The sequence below is a fragment of the Homo sapiens genome, chromosome 9, assembly GCF_000001405.40.
Source record: "Homo sapiens chromosome 9, GRCh38.p14 Primary Assembly".
NCBI lineage: Eukaryota > Metazoa > Chordata > Mammalia > Primates > Hominidae > Homo > Homo sapiens.
In genome coordinates, this window is record NC_000009.12 from 127635020 (window position 1) to 127656565 (window position 21546).

Genomic DNA, 21546 nt, shown 5'->3' on the forward strand with positions numbered 1-21546 from the left:
ATTCTTCTGCCTCAGCCTTCTGAGCAGCTGAGATTACAGGCAAATACTACCATGCCCGGCTAATTTTTTGTATTTTTAGTAGAGACAGGGTTTCACCATGTTGGCCAGGCTGGTCTCGAACTCCTGACCTCAGGTGATCCACCCACCTCAGCCTCCCAAAGTGCTGCGATTACAGGCGTGAGCCACTGTGCCCGGCCCCACTGGACTAGGTGATCTTATGTCTCCTGTCTGCTGCTGGGTTTCTGGGATTGTATGAAACACTCCATTCTTTTCCTCTCTCTTTAGTTTTAGACTCATCTTTAAGTCCTTAGGGAAACTCCCATTCAAGCCAAGAGATGTGATTTGGAGCCATTAAATGCTGCATCTACCAATTTAAGATGCTAGCCACATCTTGGGTTCCTGCCAAGATCAAGATACATATTCTGGGTTTCTGCAGTTGAAGGAGGAATTCCTGCAGCCATCGCAGAGTCTGTAGTAGGAGCACAAGCTTTTTTCGGAGACACAGATGTGGCTGGGCGGGTGGCTCATGCCTGTAGTCCCAGTACTTTGGGAGGCCGAGGCGGGTGGATCACCTGAGGTCAGGAGTTTGAGACCAGTATGACCAATATGGTGAAACTCCGTCTCTACTAAAGATACAGAAATTAGCTGGGCATGGTGGCAGGCGCCTGTAATCCCAGTTACTTGGGAGGCTGAGACAGGAGAATTGCTTGAACCTGGGAGGCGGAGGTTACAGTGAGCCGAGATGGTGCCACTGCACTCCAGCCTGGGCGACAGAGTGAGACTCCGTCTCAAAACAAACAAACAAACAAACAAACAAACAATAAAACAGACACAGATACAGGTTGACAGGCCAAGTGGGCATTAACAGATGAGGACTGCTGCTGTTGGTAATGTATAAGGGCAATGTCTTTTCTATCTTTTTTTTTCCTGGTCAGCTGTAGTCATGTATCTTTTTTTTTTTTTTTTTTTTTTTTTTTGGAGATGAAGTCTCACTCTGTTGCCCAGGCTGGAGTGCAATGGCACGATCTCGGCTCACTGCAACCTCCGCCTCCTGGGTTAAAGTGATTCTCCTGTCTCAGCCTCCCCATTAGCTAGGGCTACAGGCGTGCATCACCACACCCAGCTAATTTTTTGTATTTTTAGTAGAGATGGGGTTTCACCATGTTGGCCAGGCTGTTCTTGAACTCCTGACCTCAAGTGATCTGCCCGCTTTGGCCTCCCAAAGTGCTGGGATTACAGACGTGAGCCACCGTGCCTGGCCCAGGCTTCCCAAATAACTGAATGCTGGTATCACTGTGGTGTATAAAAATGGTCCTCATTTTCCAGTCCTTTCTTTTAAAGATGTCCTTATGTAGCAGAGCTTTATGTGGTGAGAGTAGTGTTTGCTCCCCTGGAAGGTTACTATTTCACAATTTTTGTCTTTCTTTGGTATTTTTGCTTCAAAATATCAACATAACTCAATAGTGTTGATGACAATAAGCTGTTGATTTTAAGAAGATATGAATTATTGGATTTCCACTTTTGATTGATTTTTCCATTTGTGTGTATTTTGTAACGTCACAGCTCCTTTTATCCAAGGAACGTTGTTTCAGGCAACATAAGGAAGAAATAATTTCCCTTTAGAACTGAGGGGAGGTGACTGCTGCCTCTAACATATACTTAGGAACTCCTATTTTTCATCTCCACTAGCCCTGGTTTGAGATTTTTTTTTTTTGGAGATGGAGTTTCGCTCTTGTTGCCCAGGCTAGAGTGCAGTGGTGTGATCTCGCCTCACTGCAACCTCCGCAGTTCAGGTGATTCTCCCGGGTTCAGGTGAACCTGAACCTGAACTTCTCCCGCAGTTCAGGTGAACCTCCCGGGTTCAGGTGATTCTCCTGCCTCAGCCTCCCAAGTAGCTGGGATTACAGGCATGAGCTACCATGCCTGGCTAATTTTGTATTTTTTTAGTAGAAACGGAGTTTTACCATATTGGTCAGGCTGGTCTCAAGCTCCTGACCTCGGGTGATCTACCCACCTCGGCCTCCTAAAGTGCAGGGATTACAGGTGTGAGCCACTGCGCCTGGCTGAAGTTATTTTTATTTATTTATTTATTTATTTTTTGAGACAGAGTTTCACTCTTGTTACCCAGGCTGTAGTGCAACGGCATGATCTCGGCTCACCGCAACCTCCACCTCCCGGGTTCAAGTGATTCTCCTGCCTCAGCCTCCCGAGTAGCTGGGATTACAGGCACCCACCACCACGCTCAGCTAATTTTTTGTATTTTTAGTAGAGATGGGGTTTCTCCATGTTGGTCAGGCTGGTCTTGAACTCCCGACCTTAGGTGATCCACCCGCCTCCACCTCCCAGAGTGCTGGGATTACAGGCATGAGCCACCGCGCCCGGCCATGGCTGAGATTTTTTTTTACTAATCACTTTGAAGGTTCATGAGTCTTTGCTTAGAGATTTTCTGGCTCCTTCACTTTTTGGCTCCAAACCTTATAAAACAGGGATATAAAATAAAAAATGGGAGTCTCTCTTGAAAGAGAAAGTAAATAGTCATTTCTGTAACCCTACCCAGTATCTTTATGGACCCGAGGTTAGGATTTGGTTTCTCGGATACTAGGCATTTATCATCAGGCACTCTCTCGGATATTGGCAGTAACCCAGGTTTTGTATGTTACAGCGTTGGACATTTGAGTCTTATGCAATCTTTGGGTGTGCTCAGTAGGCCGATGTAATCAAATCATTGTTAACCCATCTCTACACGTTTTAAAGCTTGTGACAACTCCAAACAATTAGCCCTCACCCTTTTTTCTCACTACCCATTACCCAAAAATCAAACCTAAATAGAGATGTTCTCAGATTATAACCAGGCTAATTAGTTGTCATTCAACAGTTACAGGGAGTGATACCCAGTGCTTGCCCTGTGGCTGACAATTTGAGATCTCTATTTTGGTCTCTCCCACTTCCCACAAATACAATTTAGATATAAAATTATAGTAAATTATTCTAGATAACTAATAGTTGATAGAGTTACTGTCTTCAAATGAAGGCACTATGGAACAGTTTTATATTAAGCATAACTGCATTTGTTTTGTTTTTGTTTTTAAAAATTTTTTCTAGAGACAGGGTCTTGCTTTGTTGCCCAGGCTGGTCTCTAACTCCTGGCTTCAAGCGATCCCACTTTGGCCTCCTAAAGTGTTGGGATTACAGCCATTGTGCCCAGCCAGTTTTTTGAGTTTGAATTTTAATTTTTTATCTAAAATTCTCTAATGATTTTAGAAACAGCTTTATTGGGATATAATTCACATACCATACCATTCACCCATTTAAAGTGTATAATTCAATGGCTTTTAGTCTATTCATAGAACAGTGTGTCCATCATCACAATCAATTTTAGAACACTTTCAATTACCCCAGAAGGAAACTCCATATTCCTTATATGTAACCCCTAAACCCCCCATCTCTCCTGCTGTAGGCAACTACTAATCTCCTTTCAATTTGTATGGCTGTACCTGTTCTGGACATTGCATCTAAATGGCGTTACATAATATGTGGTCCTTTATGACTGCCTGCCTTTTTTTGAGACGGAGTCTCTCTCTGTCGCCCAGGCTGGAGTGCAGTGGTGCAATCTCAGCTCACTGCAAGCTCCGCCTCTCAGGTTCACACCATTCTCCTACCTCAGCCTCCTGAGTAGCTGGGACTACAGGCGCCCGCCACCACGCCTGGCTACTTTTTGTATTTTTAGTGGAGATGGGGTTTCACTGCATTAGCCAGGATGGTCTCGATGTCCTGACCTCATGATCCGCCCACCTTGGCCTCCCAAAGTGCTGGTATTACAGGCGTGAGCCACCGCGCACAGCCATGACTGCCTTCATTTACTTAGTGTGTTTTAAAGGTTCTTTGGTCTTACAACATTTATTGTACTTCACTCCTTTTTAATGACTGAATAATACTCCATTGTGTGGATATACTGCACTTACCCATTCACCCGTCAGTGGGTGTTTGAGTTGTTTCCACTTTTTGGTTATTATGAATAATGCTGCTAGAAACATTCATGTACAAGTGTTTGTGTAGACATATGTTATTTATTTATTTTTAAAATTTATTTATTATTATTTTTTGAGACAGGGTCTCACTCTGTTGCCCAGGCTGGAGTGCAGTGGCACTATGTCAGCTCATTGCAACCTCTGCCCTCTGGGTTCAAGCAATTCTCTTGCCTCAGGCTCCCGAGTAGCTGGGATTACAGGTGCCTGCCACCATGCCTGGCTAATGTTTGTATTTTAAGTAGAGACAGGGTTTCACCATGTTGGCCAGGCCGATCTTGAACTCTTGATCTTAGGTGACCCACCTGCCTCAGCCTCCCAAAGTGATGGGATTACAGGCATGAGCCACCACGCCCAGCCAACATACGTTTTAATGTCTTTAGGATATATACCTAGGAATGGAGTTGCTGGATCTCTATGTTTGGTTATTTGAGGAGCTGCCGGCCTGTTTTCCACATCAGCTGTACCATTTTACATTCTCACCAGCAGTGCATGACGGTCCAGTGCCTTTTTATCTTACTGCGCTTAAGGTGTAATTCCTTCTTTCTCAGACTGGACTGTAAATTCTTTGAGGTAAATACATTGATTTATATGTTGCTTGTATCCTCTATTGCCTTCAAGTGGTTATGTGCATTTTATTGTGCAATTGCTAGATACTTTGTTTCTCTCAGCGTCAGTGTTTTACTTTGTAAAATGAGGGTGCTATAATTCTTGACCTCTGAGGGCTACTGGGAGCTTTAAATGAGATGATATATGTAAAACACATGAGGAACTCTCTCACATGTAGTCAACCTTCAATATGTTTCAGATATTGCTATTATTATGGGCATTTTTTTTGTTATTGAGAGTAAATTAACGATTGAGTTTTTTCTTTATTTTGAGGAGTCTTGCTTTGTTGCCCAGATTGGAGTGCAGTGGTGCAATCTTGGCTTGCTGCAACCTCCGCCTCCCAAGTTCAAGCAATTTTCCTGCCTCAGCCTCCCTAGTAGCTGGGATTACAGGCACCTGCCACCAAACCCAGCTAATTTTTGTATTTTTAGTAGATATGGGGTTTCACCATGTTGGCCAGGATGGTCTCAAGCTCCTGGCCTCAAGTGACCTGCCCGCCTCAGTCTCCCAAAGTACTGGGATTATAGATGTGAGCCACTGTGCCCGGCTGACTTTTTCTTTTTTTTCTTTTTTCTTTTTTTTTGTTTTTGTTTTTTTTGAGACGGAGTCTCACTCTGTCATCCAGGCTGGAGTGCAGTGGCACGACCTTGGCTTACTGCAACCTCCGCCTCCCGGGTTCAAGTGATTCTCCTGCCTCAGCCTCCCGAGTAGCTGGGACTACAGGCTCACACCACCATGCCTGGCTAATTTTTGTATTTTTAGTAAAGGGTTTCACCACGCTGGCCAGGCTGGTCTCGAACTCCAGACCTTGTGATCTGCCCGCCTCGGCCTCCCAAAGTGCTGGGATTACAGGCGTGAGCCACTGTGCCCGCCAAGTTTTTTCTTTATAAGAGCTTTGAAAAAATTTTGGCTAAGGTTGTAATATCTCAATCAGACACTGGTTAAAAAATTAGCAGTAGGGGAATTATCAGATGGTGGACCTTCTTCCAAGCCCCCAGCAAGTTCATTAAACTGTTAAATTTCCTTTGGGCACTGATCACTCTCCGAGGCGATGGTGTTTATTTCTTTGTGTTTATAGGCAGTCTCTCCCTTCCACACCAGAGTGTAGGCATTTTGTTTAGCTTGCTCATCATGGTCTTTCTGATGCCTAGAAGGATGTCTGCCACATAGCAGCTGTTCAATAAATATTGTGGAATAGATGAGAAAAAATGTATGCAGAGAAAAAATTAGAAGACAGGAGACATATTACAAACCCCATGGAGGAACAATAAATCACTAGATTCTTCCTTATTAGGAACGTAAAAATATTATTTAAAATAGGTGATAATAGGGCCAGTGATAGCCAACAGGGTTAAGTACTGTTGTAAACACTAAGCTAAGTGCTGTACAGGCAGTCACTTATTTAATCCTCACGATACCCCTATGAGACATTTGCGGTCCTTCCCATTTTACAGATGGAGAAACTGTGACACACAGAGATTTAATAACTTGCACAAAGGCACAGCTAATGAGTGGAGAAGCAGGGAGTTGAACTTTAACCATCTGTCTCCAAAACCCATTTGAATCCCTTTGCTTTACTCTGTCAAGGTGATCATAGCAATGTAGCACAACAAAGGACAGCTGGGTTCAGTGTCAGAGTCTAGCCCATGCTAGAGCCAGAGAGACGACATGTGCAGTGGGAAGAACATGCGGACAGGGGTCCAGAGAATAGTTGCTCATGCTAGAGTGACCAATTAGTGGCTTACCCACTCCAGATGGCTGTCTTCTGCAGGGAGTATCTCAATCCCCAAATTGAGACCTGAGACCTGGGACCTGGAACCTGGCCTTAGCTGATCTCTGAGGTTCTTTCCAATATTAAAGTTTTCAAGCCCCAAAGAAGAATAGTTGAAAATTACTTTGCCTCCCCAGGCTACAAGGTGACATAGATCAAAAAATTTTATTAGCCTCCTGTGTTAGTGTTTATGTTTACAATAAAGTCCTCACTAATTTGATTGGAATAAATCAGCAGGTCTCCATGTAGAGACTGTCTTATGAATACATTTAAGGAGATTTGTGCAAATTATTGTATGTTCATACTATGGAATGCTATGTAGTTTGAAAGCATGTGGTAGGTCTGTGTGAAATGATACAAGAGAAAGTCTATAATATATTGAGTAGAAAATGTAATTGCAGAACAATGTGTATACGTGTAATATCCCAACCAAAGAGCTGTGTACATGTGCATACCTCCCCACACCTGGGTGTATGTGCCCAGGAAAGGATCTGTAAGGGCACACCCGAAACTGTTAGTGGCTGTTTTCCCCGCAAGAGTAGGGGGAAGGAGGGAAATTTCACCCTGTATTTATATAATCTATTGTTTGATTTTTTTTTACAAGAATGTGCTACTTTTTTATTATTAAGAACTACATAGGCTGGGGGTGGTGGCACATGCCTGTAATTCCAGCTACTCGGGATCCTGAGGCAGGAGAATCGCTTGAACTGGGGAGGCAGAGGTTGCAGTGAGCCAAGATCATGCCGTTGCGCTCCAGCCTGGGCAACAAGAGTGAAACTCCGTCTCGAAAAAAAAGAACTACGTAAAGGCAAAAAGTTAAAGTGGTTTATAATTAGGTTACCAATAGTGTGTGTATAAATGATATTTCCAAGAAAGGAAACTTGAGAGTACTTGGAAGGCTTGTTTTCAAGTATTTGTACCATTTCCTGCAATCTTGTTGAACATTAACTTATTCCACCTGGGAAAATGCAGTTGTTTATCAAGGAGACCCTTCAGCCCCACACGAGACATTCAGAGAAACTTGGTTGCTGTCTTTGCTGTCAGGAAAGAGGAAGACTACCTAGACATGTTGCTCCAGAGCAGAATTTCCAGCAGTAGATTGAACCTTCGGAGGCCGAGTCCCAGCCCAGTGTAAACTGGTAAAGAGTGAGCCCTCTTCCTACAATCTGGTTATTGCTGCTGTGTAAAAAGTCCTCTTGATTTTTATGTATTTATTTCTTATCTGCTGCCTTACTAAATGTTTTAATGTTGCTAATCATTTTGATTTCTGCAGATATATATCATTATTACTAATATTGTAACTCATTTTATTTTCTAATCTGACTGAATTTTTGGATACATGTTAAATAATAACAATTTTAAAATACAGACCTGTGTGCCCTGTTGTGACTAAAATGCCTTTGACTTTCTATCGGCCTCTGCTTGTGCTTCAGATTAACTCACAGATAGCCAGGGGCCACTCTCTGCCCTCTCAGAAGGGGACGGGGGTCCTTATGTTCAACTTTATATTTTCTTTCTTTCTTTTTTTTTTTTTTAGTTTGAGACAGGGTCTCACTCTTGCCCAGGCTAGAGTGGTACAGCAGCGTCATCTTAGCTCACTGTAGTCTCTGCCTTTCAGGCTCAAAGGGATCCTCCTGCCTCAGCCTCCTGAGTAGCTGGGACTACAGGCGCGAGCTACCACACCCAGCTAATTTTTGTATTTTTTCTAGAGACGGGTTTTTGCCATGTTGCCCAGGTCAAACTTTATATTTTCATTTAGGATTCGTATACATTGGTGCTATAGTGCCATTATTCCAAAAATGTATTCATATGTTTACCGCAGGTCAGAGAAGTTTTGAAATTTTTGGTGAAATATCCATGTAGTTTGCTATCTGAATATCTTTATGATTATTTAAAAACTATTTTAAACATTTGTTTCCTTTTTTTTTTTTCTTGAGGCAGAGTCTTACTCTGCTGCCCAGGCTGGAGTGCAGTGGCGTGATCTTGGCTCACTGCAAACTCCGCCTCCCAGGTTCAAGCGATTCTCCTGCCTCAGCCTCCCAAGTAGCTGGGATTACAGGCACCCACCACCATGCCTGGCTAATTTTTGTATTTTTGGTAAAGATGGGGTTTCACCATGTTGGCCAGGCTGGTCTCAAACTTCTGACCTCAAGTGATCCACCCACCTCAGCCTCCCAAAGTGCTGGGATTACAGGCATGAGCCACTGTGCCCGGCCACATTTGTTTCCTTTTAAGAGGATTTTTACATTATGTTAAAAATCTTGATTGGTAGAAGTTATATTTCATAATTTTCTTCTTCCTTTGTATGAATAATATGCTTTTATAGTGATGTCACAAGAGGTGCCTTTTGCAGAGTGCCTCATACGTGTCACTGGACTAAGTAAGCATTTTATCTCATTAATCTTCACAACAGGCTATTAGAGTATTATAATTTTAATTTTGCAGATGAGAAAACTGAAACTTAAAATGTTTTAAACTTGGCAAGGCACGGTAGCTCGATAGCTCACGCCTGTAACCTAATCCAAGCACTTTGGGAGGCTGAGGTAGGTGGATCACCTGAGGTTAGGAGTTCGAAGGCAGCCTGGCCAACATGGTGAAACCCTGTCTCTACAAAAGACACAAAAATTAGTTGGGCGTGATGGCGTGTGCCTGTAGTCCCAGCTACTAGGGAGGCTGAGGCAGGAGAATCACTTGAACCCGGGAGGTGGAGGTTGTAGTGAGTCAAGATCTCGCCATTGCACTCCAGCCTGGGCGATAGAGGGAGACTCCTTCTCAAAAAAAAAAAAAAGTCCCAAGGTCACACAGCCAGCAAATGCCTGAACCTGGATGTCAGCCCTGGTCTAACTTTAGCGCTTCCTTGGGCATTTTTGGGGGTGATTTCTGCTTGAGCAGCCAGCATTACCCCCTCAGACCCCTGGAGTTCAGTCAAGAGGATGCCTTTTAGAAGAACGTCTACTGTTGAGTCAGAATAACTCTGGAAATTCCCTGTACTCTGGATTGGTAAAAAGAGGCAGGGAGTTGTGGGCTGAGGTTGGACTCTCTTAGTTCCCTCAGCAGCATGAAGGCAACTTCTCCCAACCTGGGGAAAGTGGATCCTGGTGCCTCTGTCCTGGGCAGTGTGGTGCTCTGGGGCTACTGTGTGGAATCTTGGAATCGCCTGTGGTGTTGACTTTGGTTGCACTTCTCCTAAGCTTCTGGCTCATCTAATATTAGTCACGCTACTTCAGGTGTTTGCATGTGCCCTGGGCTCAGGGCATCGGGCATCTGGCATATGTCACTGTGGAGGGCAGTTGTGAGTCCCTCCTGGGCTGTGAGGGTGGGGCTTCATAGGGAGCTGCAAGCCTTGAGCAGTCCCTGTAGCGATCCCTGGAGCCTGTGTTTTGGGACTCCAGTTGAAATATTGGGTGCATTTGAAGATGTCCCAGATCATCTTAGACCACCGGCCATTTTTCTCAGGACATGGCAGAGATTTGCCAAGGTTGGGAGTCACCCAGGACCTAGAGGATGTGGTTGAGAAGGGACCTGCTTTCTTACTCATTTGGCCATGAGGGAAGCAGAGTCCACCAGGGTCTTCAGTATTACGGAGGAACTGAAGCTGCTCCGGTCTTTTAAACACATCCCCGTAGACTAGCTGGGTGGTGGAGCAGGCATTTGGCTGTAGATACACATGGTTTGGTATGCGGAAGTAAGACCTCCTGGCTGGACCCACTTCAGAAGTCTTCATTGTTTCTCTCCACATGAAGAGGACTTAGGAAGGAGATGAAATGAGATTGCCAGGGATTGTGAGGAGGTAGCCCAAGCTACTTGATTCTTAATGCTAAACTGAGCTCTAATCCTTGTTTCCTTTTCAGTATTGGATTAGAAAAATGTAGGGCAGGATTAGAATTGGCTGTTAACAATACCCAGGACAAACATATGCCCTGAGAACTTTGGAAAGGAAATAACTTCCTAGGAATGGTGGCAGCTGCAGTGGTAATTTATATGTGTCTTTTAACACTTGTAGTACTTGGTTTTATCTTTTGATTATATCTCTGCCTTTCCCTATCAAAAGGCAACTTAAGTGTAATTTTTTTCAGTGAATTTATATTAATTTTTAGTGGCAAGAAAATATATTCATCCTCAATAATATAATACATTCAAATAAAGAGTGAACTATACTGTTTTCTGCTGTCATTGTGGCAAAGATTAAAATAAGTAAACCTCAAGATATTTTATCAGTTAGTATGTTAATTTGGAGAGCCACATAGTACTGATGAGGGTGGGAGACATAATTTTGGAAAGTAATTCAGCAGAGTTTATCAGGACCCCAGAACATTTAGATGTTTTACCAACTTATTCCATACTCAGAAAGCTACCCTAACGGAATAATTTGTGCTAAGAAAAGCCCTGGCCACAAAGATGGTCGCTGACACATTATTTTGAGAGCATTTTTCTTATGCAGAAAGCTTGGGACAACATTGGAAGGCACAAATTGGCAAGTAAAGGTTAATTATAAATTTATTGCACAAAAATAAGCTTTTGGTATGAGTTTTTCTAATTTTCCTATGCATATCTGCTTTAAAAATAGTTGTAGCATGCTTTTTTCACCCTTAGCCATATATTTTGAGCATTTTCTTCCTCGTTTGTACTCATATATGAAAACTCTAACCTTAGTTGAAACCAGCCTTCCTTTCTTGCACCTGGACAGCCGAACATTATTGGGAAAAAACATTACTAAGCTGCCTGGTTTAACTTTAAATTCACAGTCATGACCATCAAATTAGTCCTTAGTACTGTCTGTAAATGCTAAAACATTTCCACAGTAAATTGACTTTCCCAATCTCTGGGAAGATATATGATACCTTCTTTCTTCAAAGCTTCCATATATAACACCCCTTCCCCACTCTTAGCCAATGACTTCATCTCCAACAGGGAAACCCCTCACCTCTGCCACCGTGTCTCCAAGCCCATCTGTGGCTTTCCTCTCCTTCACACAGGATGCCTCCTGTCCCAGGTCAAGCTTTCCTCTTGTATCTCAGCTCCAACTCCTCCCTCTTCCTCAGGGACCTCAGTCTTTCATTACTCCATCCTCTCTCCTGCATCGTCACTCTCCCCTTCCCTTTTGACTTATTGCCAGCATCACTAAAAATGCTATAATCTTTCACATCTTTAAAAACAAACAAATCCTACCCTTGCATCCATGTCTTTATCTACCCTGTTAGTTTTTATGCCTTTTCTCTGCTACCTTTTAAAGCAAAACTCCTTTTTTTTTTTTTTTGTCACCCAGGCTGGAGTGCAGTGGCACGATCTCGGCTCACTGCAAACTCCACCTCGCAGGTTCAGGCGATTCTCCTGCCTCAGCCTCCTGAGTAGTTGGCATTATAGGCACGCGGCACCACGCCCGGCTAATTTTTGTTTTTTGTTTTTTTTTTTTTTTTTGAGACAGAGTCTTGCTCTGTCACCAGGCTGGAGTGCAGTGGCGAGAATTGGCTTACTGCAACCTCCGCCTCCCGGGTTCAAGCGATTCTGCCGCCTCAGCCTCCCGAGTAGCTGGGACTACAGGCCCGCCACCTAATTTTTGTATTTTTGGTAGAGACAGGGTTTCACCATGTTGGTCAGGCTGGTCTCGAACTCCTGACCTCATGATCCACCCGCCTTGGCCTCCCAAAGTGCTGGGATTATAGGTGTGAGCCACCACGCCCGGCCAAAGCAAAACTTCTTAAGAGTTGTTGTCTGTCTTGTCTTCCTCCTCTCCCATTTTAGTCTGGCTTCATTCTTATTATTTCACTGAAACGCTCGTCAAGGTCCACAAAGACCATGTCCATCCATCTCACTGCTCCTGTCAGAGTCATTTTCTGCAGCCTTCCCTCCTGCCTCTATTTGATAAGTCCCCAGTGTTTCACTCCAGCTGAGGCTGTGCTTCCAAGCCCAAGAGCTAACTCTAGCTACCTATTCAGCGTCTTCCCTTGAATGTGTCTTAGCCATCTCAATCTTAAAACAACTAAAATAGAACTCCTGATGTTCTACAGACCAGTTCTCCTTCCTCTCAAACTCTCTGAATGCTACATCAATTTCTTGGCTTAAACCAAAAATCTGGGAGTTGGTTATGTTTCTTTTCTTTTCTGCCACATCCAGTGTATCAGCTAGCCCTGTTGGTTTTACCTCCATAGTGTATATCAAATCTGCCCACTTCTCACCATCTCCTCTGCCACTGTCATGCCTGGACTGTTGGAAAGGCCTCCTGACTCCACCCCCTGCTTCCATTCTTGCCCCCTCCTTCTTGTCTCTCTGTAGCACATCAGATTACATCCTTACCTTCCATGGCTTTCCAATGCCTTTCAGATAAAATCATACTCCTTATCAAAGACCACGAGGCTCTGTATGATCCGGCCTCCAACCTCAGCGTATATCATCTTCAGTTCCCAGAAAATGTCAATCTCATTTTCCTTTTTCCACAAGACTTTGTACTGTTCCTTCTCCTTTTCCTAGTTCTTGGCTGACTTCTTCCTCGTCAGGTCCAACTTGCTTAGAGTGGCCTTGCCTGACCCCCTATTTAAGTAGGCTGCCCACACCCTTTTAAAAAATCGTAGCACCTTATTTATTTAATTCGGAGCACTTATGAGAAGATGCAATTGCTCTTTTCAGTTAGTGGCCGCCTCCTTCCCTAGAGCAGCAGCTCCACAGGAGCTGAGCAGCACAGTATCTTGTTCATTCGCAGGGTTTAGCACAATGGCTGGCAAGTAGTGGTTACTCAACAAATGTTTATTGAGTGAAAGCCTGAAAGAATGAGTACATATTTTCCCAAATTATTATTTCCAATGGGTTCATAGTATTCCATTGTACAAATGTAACCTAATTAAGTTAACCACTGCCCTATTATGGATATATTGGTTTCTAGTTTTTCACTACACTGAAACATGCGAAGTAATCTAAATGGCTATTGGGAATATTGTTGACCATGAACAATTATTCAGGCCTTAAAATCCTAGAAAGTGTTTTTATTAAAATGGGTGAGTTGAGTACATTAAGTGAAAAAAGCATAATATAAAATTATATATCTACAGCATGATTTTTTTTTTTTTTTGAGTCAGAGTCTCCCTCTGTCACCCAGGCTGGAGTACAGTGGCATGATCTTGGGTTACTGCAACTTTGCCTCTCACTGAAGCAGTCCCACTACCTCAGCCTCCTGAGTAGCTAAGACTACAGGTGTATGCCACCATGACTGGCTAATTTTTGTATTTTTTGTAGAGATGGGGTTTCACCATGTTGTCCAACCTGGTCTCGAACTCCTGGGCTCAAGTGATTTGCCTGCCTTGGCCTCCCAAAGTGCTGGGATTACAGGCATGAGCCACCGCACGTGGCCAACATGATCTTAACTATGTAAAAGTGCATAGAAAAAGCTAGTATGAAATAAAACTAAAATGTTAATTATGCATTTCAAGTTGACATGATTACAGATAATTTTTCTTTTAGATTTTTTTTTTTTTTTTTTTGAGACAAAGTCTCACTTTGTCATCCAGGCTGGAGTGCAGTGGCTAGATCTTGGCTCACTGCAACCTCTGCCTCCTGGGTACGAGCGATTCTGGTGCCTCAGCCTCCTGAGTATCTGGGATTACAGGTGCGCATCACCACATCTGGCTAATTTTTTTGTATTTTTATTTGAGATAGGGTTTCACCATGTTGGCCAGGCTGGTCTCGAACTCCTGACCTTAAGTGATCCGCCCCCATCAGCCTCCCAAAGTTCTGGGATTACAGGTGTGAGCCACCGCGCCCGGCCTGATTGTTTTGTTTTGTTTTGTTTTTATCTTTTTTATTTATTTATTTATTTTTTTTTTTATTTTTTTTGAGACGGAGTCTTGCTCTGTCGCCCAGGCTGGAGTGCAGTGGCACGATCTCAGCTCACTGCAAGCTCCGCCTCCCGGGTTCACGCCATTCTCCTGCCTCAGCCTCCTGAGTAGCTGAGACTACAAGCACCTGCCACCACGCCCAGCTAATTTTTTGTATTTTTAGTAGAGACGGGGTTTCACCATGTTAACCAGGATGGTCTCAATCTCCTGACCTCGTGATCCACCCTCCTCGGCCTCCCAAAGTGCTGGGATTACAGGCATGAACCACCGCGCCCGGCCGTTATCTTTTTTATTTTAAGACAGAATCTCGCTCTGTCACCAGGCTGGAGTGCAGTGGCACGATCTTGGCTTATTGCAACCTCCGATTCCCTGGTTCAAGTGACTCTCCTGCCTCACCCTCCCAAGTGGCTGGGATTACAGGCATGCACCACCATGCCCAGCTAATTTTTGTATTTTTAGTAGAGACGGGGTTTCACCATGTTGGCCAGGATGGTCTCGATCTCCTGACCTCGTGATTCACCCACCTTGGCCTCCCAAAGTGCTGGGATTACAGGCATGAGCCACCGTGCCTGGCCTGATTGTTTTTTAAGCACATGAGTAATACATTGAATTTTTTCTTTTCTTTTTTTTTTGAGATGGAGTCTGGCTCTGGGTCTGTCACCCAGGCTGGAGTGCAGTGGTGTAATCTTGGCTCACTGCAACCTTCACCTCCTGGGTTCAAGCAATTCTCCTGCCTCAGCCTCCTGAGTAGATGGTATAACAGGTGCACACCACCATGCCCAACTAATTTTTGTATTTTTAGTAGAGATGAGGTTTCACCATATTGGTAAGGCTGGTCTCGAACTCCTGACCTCAGGTGATCCACCCGCCTCGGCCCCCCAAAGTGCTGGGATTACAGGTGTGAGCCACTGTGCCTGGCCAGAATTTTTCCTTTATACTTTTCTGTGTTTTCCAAGTTTACTGCTGTGTGTGTGTGTGTGTGTGTGTGTGTGTGTGTGTGTGTGTGTGTGTGTATGTGATTACTGTGATTCAGTGATTACTGAAGATAGTCAAAAGCAGATTTAGGAACCATCGAGCCCTAGAGAATTGTCTAACTGTCTGAACCATACATGCTGACAACAGCTCTTGCCCTTCAAGTTGCTCCAGGTGTGTGTTACTCAGGTTTACAGAGTAGCAAGAGTGGACTTTCCTATGGAGCCTCCACAGCTGGTCAGGTGTGTGTGTGTGTGTGTGTGTGTGTGTGTGTGTGTGTGTGTGTGTGGTGGTCTAGGTAACGGGGCTCATTAAAATGGTGATTTGGGGATAAGAGTGCTCTGGAGATGTGCTCAGGGTTTTGAACATTTCACAACTGCTCCTCACATCTGTTTTTAGAGCTTGAGGAGGGCTCATGTGGCCTGAGGCATTGTCACAGCCTTTACCCACTTAACTTTAGGCAGTGGTTCTCAAATCTGAGCCCTTCTGGGGGTTCATGAGGTCAAAACTATCTTCATACTAAGACCAAGATGTGGTTTGCCTCTTCATTCTCATTCTCTCACGGGGCACAGCGAAGTTTCCCAGATGTTATATGTTTCAGGACATACTGGCTGCAGAAGCAGATGGGAGAAGCCAGAAGTAGACAGGAGAATGTCTATGAGGCCAGACATTAAGGAGGGTTGCAGAAATGTAAAACAATCCCAGCTGTCTCCCTAAAAATGTTTTATTATGACAAATATATTTATTTTTCATTAAAATGCAATTAATGTAACATATGAGTTTATTATCTTAAATGAATTAATATTGTTAAAAATTTCTCAGTTTAGTTTCCAATACAATAATTAAGAGCGTAAAGAAGTTATGAGACCAAAAAGTTTGAAAACCACTGAATTAAGGAGACAGGAAGAGAACTTTCTTTTTTTTTTTCAATTTTTGAGACAGAGTCTTGCTTTGTCACCCAGGCTGAAGTGCAGTGGTGTGATCTCGGCTCACTGCAACCTCAGCTCCCGAGTAGCTGGGATTACAGGCATGCACCACCATGCCTGGCTAATTTTTGTATTTTTAGTATAGATGGGGTTTCCCCATGTTGGCCAAGCTGGTCTCGAACTCCTGACCTCAGGTGATCTGCCCCCTCAGCCTCCCAAAGTGCTAACTTGTTCATCACTGAATCCCTAGCACCAATTACAGGTGTGAGCCACCATGCCCGGCTGAGAGCTATTTTTATGGTGGGTTGGTTATGGCTCAGTAAACCAGTTGGTGAATTGCATGATTCAGAAACACAAAGCCTAAGGTGGGAAATGACCTTATCTAACAGAGAGGTGTAGACGTCTTTGATATTACATTAATTTCCTCTCTCTCTCTCTCTTTCTCCTTTTTTAGAGATTATGCATGATGTGATAAAGAAGGTCAAGAAGAAGGGGGAATGGAAGGTGAGTAGAAAGTACAGTTAATGGGCTTAAGGTGAGTTCACATGGAAAAATCAGAAGGGGATGGAGTTGGAGGAAAGTTGTAGGCAGGAATGAGGGCTTTTGCTGTGTCCAGAGAGTACAGAATGCTCCTGGATTGGAGAAAGGTGATCTGCTCTGCCTCACATTTCATATGGTCTTGGTTAAGAATTCTGTTTGTCATAAAGCTTATCTTAAAGACCACCTGGTCAGGCAGTTAGCAGTGGAACTCTTTTGTTCAAACAAAATATTACCTGGAACCCGTTAGATAAAGCAGAGGAAGGTATAATTCTGCTGGCTCTGGGAGAGGAAGAAGAGGCCCTCTTGCCCCTTTGTGGCCATAAAGCATCTCCATGGAGTCCATGTACAGTTTGGGCTCAAAGCCCTCATCTGGTCTATCCTCATTGAACTGTAACTACATAAGACAAAAATAGTAAGCTCGTTTAATCACGTAACATTGACAGGAGTGCTGGAAACTATAGTGTACTTGAAACAAGTATTTAAGCCAATCAAACTGAGAGTGGGCCGGGTTCCTGGAATGGGTGGTACAGGAGTGGCACCTGCTGCCCCCTATGCATGAAGTCAGCATTTTAAGGACTGCTTGGTTGTCTAAGGCTGAGAATTATACTGGCCAGAAGAGTGTGCAGTTTTACTTGATTTTTTCTGCATGTTGCTGAAGAATTTATACCAACCTTTCTTGCCATCAAGGTTTCCTGCAGTCAAAAGCCCATGCAGTTTCAAGTGCATTGGGCCTAGGAACAACAGAGCTGATTAGTACAGGAGGATTTTGAAGTCTCACCCGGGGCCTTTGTTTTAACCAGCACATCTGTCCTCGCCACCCAGAAGGGGAGGCCGTGCAGTGGGCCTCCCCACCGCATACCTTTAGCATACCTCTTTAGCATACCTTTCTCACTTACCCTTCCCATCAGTGACGGGCTTGTAGACATGTGAATTTTAAACTAATCTTGAGGAAGCTGCCTTATATAATAAAAACTAATTGACCCCTGTACTGCAGCAGAAAGCTTTCTCATCCACACTATCTGCCCTGATGTGTCTTCCTCCTGTTGCCCCCTTCTCAGTTTATAGCATTACAAAAAGAGAGGATAAATAGCCTTGTTTTAACTGCCAGCTTCCTCTCCACTGTGGGCTGAATGAAGATAAGAAAGGTTAGCTGAAGAGTTGCAGGTCTGAAGCTTTTAGGCCAGGACTGGAACGTTCTTGTTCTTCCAGCCTAGACTAAGGTACACTATGTCCCAGCTGACATGTGTGTTAGTGGCACAGTTCTGATGATGCTTTTCATCAAGTCCCCACATGCCAGACCACATGTGCAGGCGCTAGTGTTCACTCTCCCCTTAAACACAAGTGCATGCCGTGAAAAAGTACTCACTAATATGATTATGTCTGAATGTTGGAGCTATAGATGATATTTCCTTTATTTATTTATTTATTTATTTATTTATTTATTATTATTATTATTATTATTATGAGATGGGATCTTGCTGTTGCCCAGGCTGGAGTACAATGGCGCGATCTCGGCTCACTGCGACCTCCGTTTCCTGGGTTCAAACATTCTCCTGCCTCAGCCTCTCACGTAGCTGGGATTACAGGTGTGAGTCACCACACCTGGCTAATTTTTGTAGAGACGGGGTTTCACCATGTTGGCCAGGCTGATCTTGAACTCCTGACCTCAAGTGATCCACCCGCCTCAGCCTCCCAAAGTGTTGGGATTACAGGCATGAGCCACCATGCCCGACTGATTTTTTTTCCTTTTTTAAATGGGTATTTACTTTGTCATGGGAAATAAAAACTATTTTTTTTTAAGTTTATAAAATTACATCAGTGAGAGGAAACTCTAACTCCTAGAAAGTTAGGTTAGGGTATGGGAGGTACAAGTGAGCATGTGTCCCCGTGGGCTTCTGGTCCATAGGAAATATGGTTTCTTCTGTATTCTGTACTTCTGGAGCTCCTTTTGGAGTCTGATGCGGTAAGCTGAGCGAGAATCACAGCAGATGCCATGAAGCCCATACGCTGTTCTCTTTCCTTGCAGGTGCTGGTGGTGGATCAGTTAAGCATGAGGATGCTGTCCTCCTGCTGCAAGATGACAGACATCATGACCGAGGGCATAACGAGTGAGCATGCGCTCTGCACTTGAGCAGTGCTGGAGCCTTCTCTCTGTGGCGGGCTTAGCTCTTTCCTATTCATTATTATCTCCTTTGATTTTAGATTCTTCCAGCAACCTGTGTGCTAAGACCAGAAGCTCCTGAGAGGCGCAAGGCTATCTTGTTCATCACTGAATCCCTAGCACCAAATCCAGGGCTAGATGCTCATTCAATGTCTGTTAAAGGAATGCCAAAAGAAGGGTTAAATCAAGAAAGAAAAGGCAGCCCACCCAATAGAAAAAAGTTCTGAGCAGGCACTTAACAAAAGAAGAAATCCAAATGGCCAATCAATCTATGAAAATTGTCCACTGTCATTAGTGGTCAGGGAAATGCAATTCAAACCAGAGTGAGATGCCGATATAGATTCAAAATATTAGAATATTTAATCTCTGATAATGCCAAGTGACGGTGAGGAGGTAGAAAAATGGAAACTCCTACGTGATGGAATGTCTGCTGGTGTAGCCCCTTTGAAAACCACTTGGCAGTGTCTAGTAAAGTTGAAGGTATGCATGTCCTGTGAGCCAGCAAGTCTGTGGTCAGGTGTGTGTCCTAGACAACCTCAGGTATGTGTGCCCAGGATACATGTGCAGGAATACATGTGCAGTGTTGCTCATAGGTTCCCCAAGTGGAAAATAACCAAAACGTCCATCAAGTGTAGAATGGTTAAATCAGTTGCGTGCAATTACACAGTAGAATACTCTACAGGGATGAAAATGGGCGAGCCCTGAGCGCTCACAGTAACATGAATGCATCTGATGAACAACGGTGAGCAAAGACAGCAAGACACGAAAGACCACTGATAGTGAGCCTTCATTCCACAGAGTTCAGACCGCAGAGCTCAGCTGTGTTGTTTTAAAATGCAGATGTAAGGGGTAAAACCTCAAGAGAAGAGCTCACCATTCAAGGGAGGATAATGATTCTGTTTGCGGGGAAGAGAGGAAATGGTGTTGATAGAGGGGAATGTGAGCTGGAGCCAGGGCACTTTTGTGGTGCTGATTGGGTTTCGTTTCTTAACTGGGGTAGCGCTTATTTAGACATTTGCCTTATGGTTATTTGTATGTTTATGTTTTATTCACGCTTTGGAATGTGTGCTATAACTTTTGGTGAATAATAAGGAGCAGGATTGCTGGATCACATGGTAAGTATGCTTAGTTTTGTAAGATACTGCCAAACCATTTTTCAAAGTGGCTGACCATTTTGCATTCCCAGCAGTAGTGAATGAGAATTCCTGTTGCTCCACATCCTTACCAGCATTTGGAGTTGTCAGTGTTCTGAATTTTGAGCATTCTACCAGCTGTGTGGTGGTATGGTATTGTTGTTTTAATTTGCATTTCCCTGATGACCTAGGATGTGGAGCATCTTTTCACATGCTTATTTGCCATCTGTATATTGTTTTTTGGTACAGTGTCTGTAAGGTCTTTGGCCCGTTTTTTAATTGGGTTATTTGTTTTCTTATTGTTGAATTTTAAGGGATATTTGTATATTTTGGATAACAGTTCTTTATCAGATATGTCTTTTGGAAATATTTGCCCTCAGTCTGTGGCTTGTCTTTTCATTCTCTTGATGGCATCTTGCACAGAGCAGTACTTTTTAATTTTAATGAAGTCCAGCTTATCAATTCTTGTTTTCATGGATTGTCACTTTGGTGTCATATCTAAAAAGTCATTGCCAAATCCAAGGACACCTAGCTTTTCTTTTATGTAATCCTCTAGGAATTTTATAATTTCGCATTTTACATTTAGGTCTGTGATCCATTTTGAGTTAACATTTCTAAAGGGTATAATGTATGTGTCTGTATTCATTTTGGTTGCACGTGGATGTGATTCCTTCATTTTTAAAAAACAGATCCAGTATATCTATCAGCAGAAGCACAGTCCTGTAAATGGCATACACAGTTTTTTTGTTTGTTTGTTTGTTTGAGACAGAGTCTTGCTGTCTCCCAAGCTGGAGGGCAGTGGCGCAATCTCAGCTCACCACAACCTCTGCCTCCTGGGTTCAAGGGATTATCCTGCCTCAGCCTCCTAAGTAGCTGGGATTACAGGCACCTGCCATCACGCCTGGCTAATTTTTGTATTTTTAGTAGAGACAGGGTTTCACCATGTTGGCTAGGCTGGTCTCGAACTCCTGACCTCAAGTGATCCACCTGCCTCGGCCTCCCAAAGTGGTGGGATTACAGGAGTGAGCCACTGCACTTGGCACACATACACAATTTTTTATGTGACTTTTATGTCATTTAGTGACCTAAGTCAGTGTGTTTTTTGTTTGTTTGTTTTTGAGACAGAGTCTTGCTCTGTTGCCCAGGATGGAGTATAGTGGTGCAATCTTGACTCACTGCAAACTCTGCCTCTGGGATTCGGGCAATTCTCGTGCCTCAGCCTCCCGAGTAGCTGGGATTACAGGCAGGCGCCAGCACACCCGGCTATTTTCTTTCTTTTTTTTTTTTTTTAGTAGAGACAGGGTTTCACCATGTTGGCCAAGCTGGTCTTGAACTCCTGGCCCCAAGTTATCTGCTCGCCTTGGCTTCCCAAAGTGCTGGGATTACAGACGTGAGCTACTGTGCCCTGCCCCAAGTCAGTTTTAAGACTAGGCTTGCCCCTATTTTGAGTTTATGATGTTATTTTCTTCATTGAATTTTTGAAACTATTTTTTTCGTCTATCAAAGCAAAAACAGACAAAAAACACAAAAGTAAAGGAGAAAAACACTAAATGGAGCTAACAAGGATCTAAGAAAAGAGCAGT

The 21546-nt window shown here is 43.6% G+C and overlaps 1 protein-coding gene across 12 annotated transcripts in view, besides 1 other annotated feature; it reads left to right on the forward strand.

The window, feature by feature from the left end:
• Positions 1 to 21546, forward strand: part of STXBP1 (syntaxin binding protein 1) — an 84118-nt gene that overhangs the window by 23108 nt on the left and 39464 nt on the right. For 7 of the 12 annotated variants that reach the window (NM_001374309.2, NM_001374314.1, NM_003165.6 and 4 more), the window contains exons 2-3: positions 16584 to 16633; positions 18696 to 18777. In NM_001374309.2, coding sequence (NP_001361238.1) covers positions 16589 to 16633; positions 18696 to 18777 — 127 coding nt within the window. In that variant the 5' untranslated portion in view covers positions 16584 to 16588. Of the gene's footprint in view, positions 1 to 4408; positions 4599 to 7449; positions 7552 to 16583; positions 16634 to 18695; positions 18778 to 21546 lie in introns of all 12 variants that reach the window. The other 5 variants (NM_001374308.2, NM_001374310.2, NM_001374307.2 and 2 more) reach the window with 3 other exon arrangements.
• Positions 15692 to 15821: an enhancer, noted in NCBI's record as "active region_29044". NCBI's record gives its function as "activates an Ori minimal core promoter by ATAC-STARR-seq in GM12878 lymphoblastoid cells {active_cell/tissue: GM12878}" and the evidence as "EXISTENCE:reporter gene assay evidence [ECO:0000049][PMID:35858748]".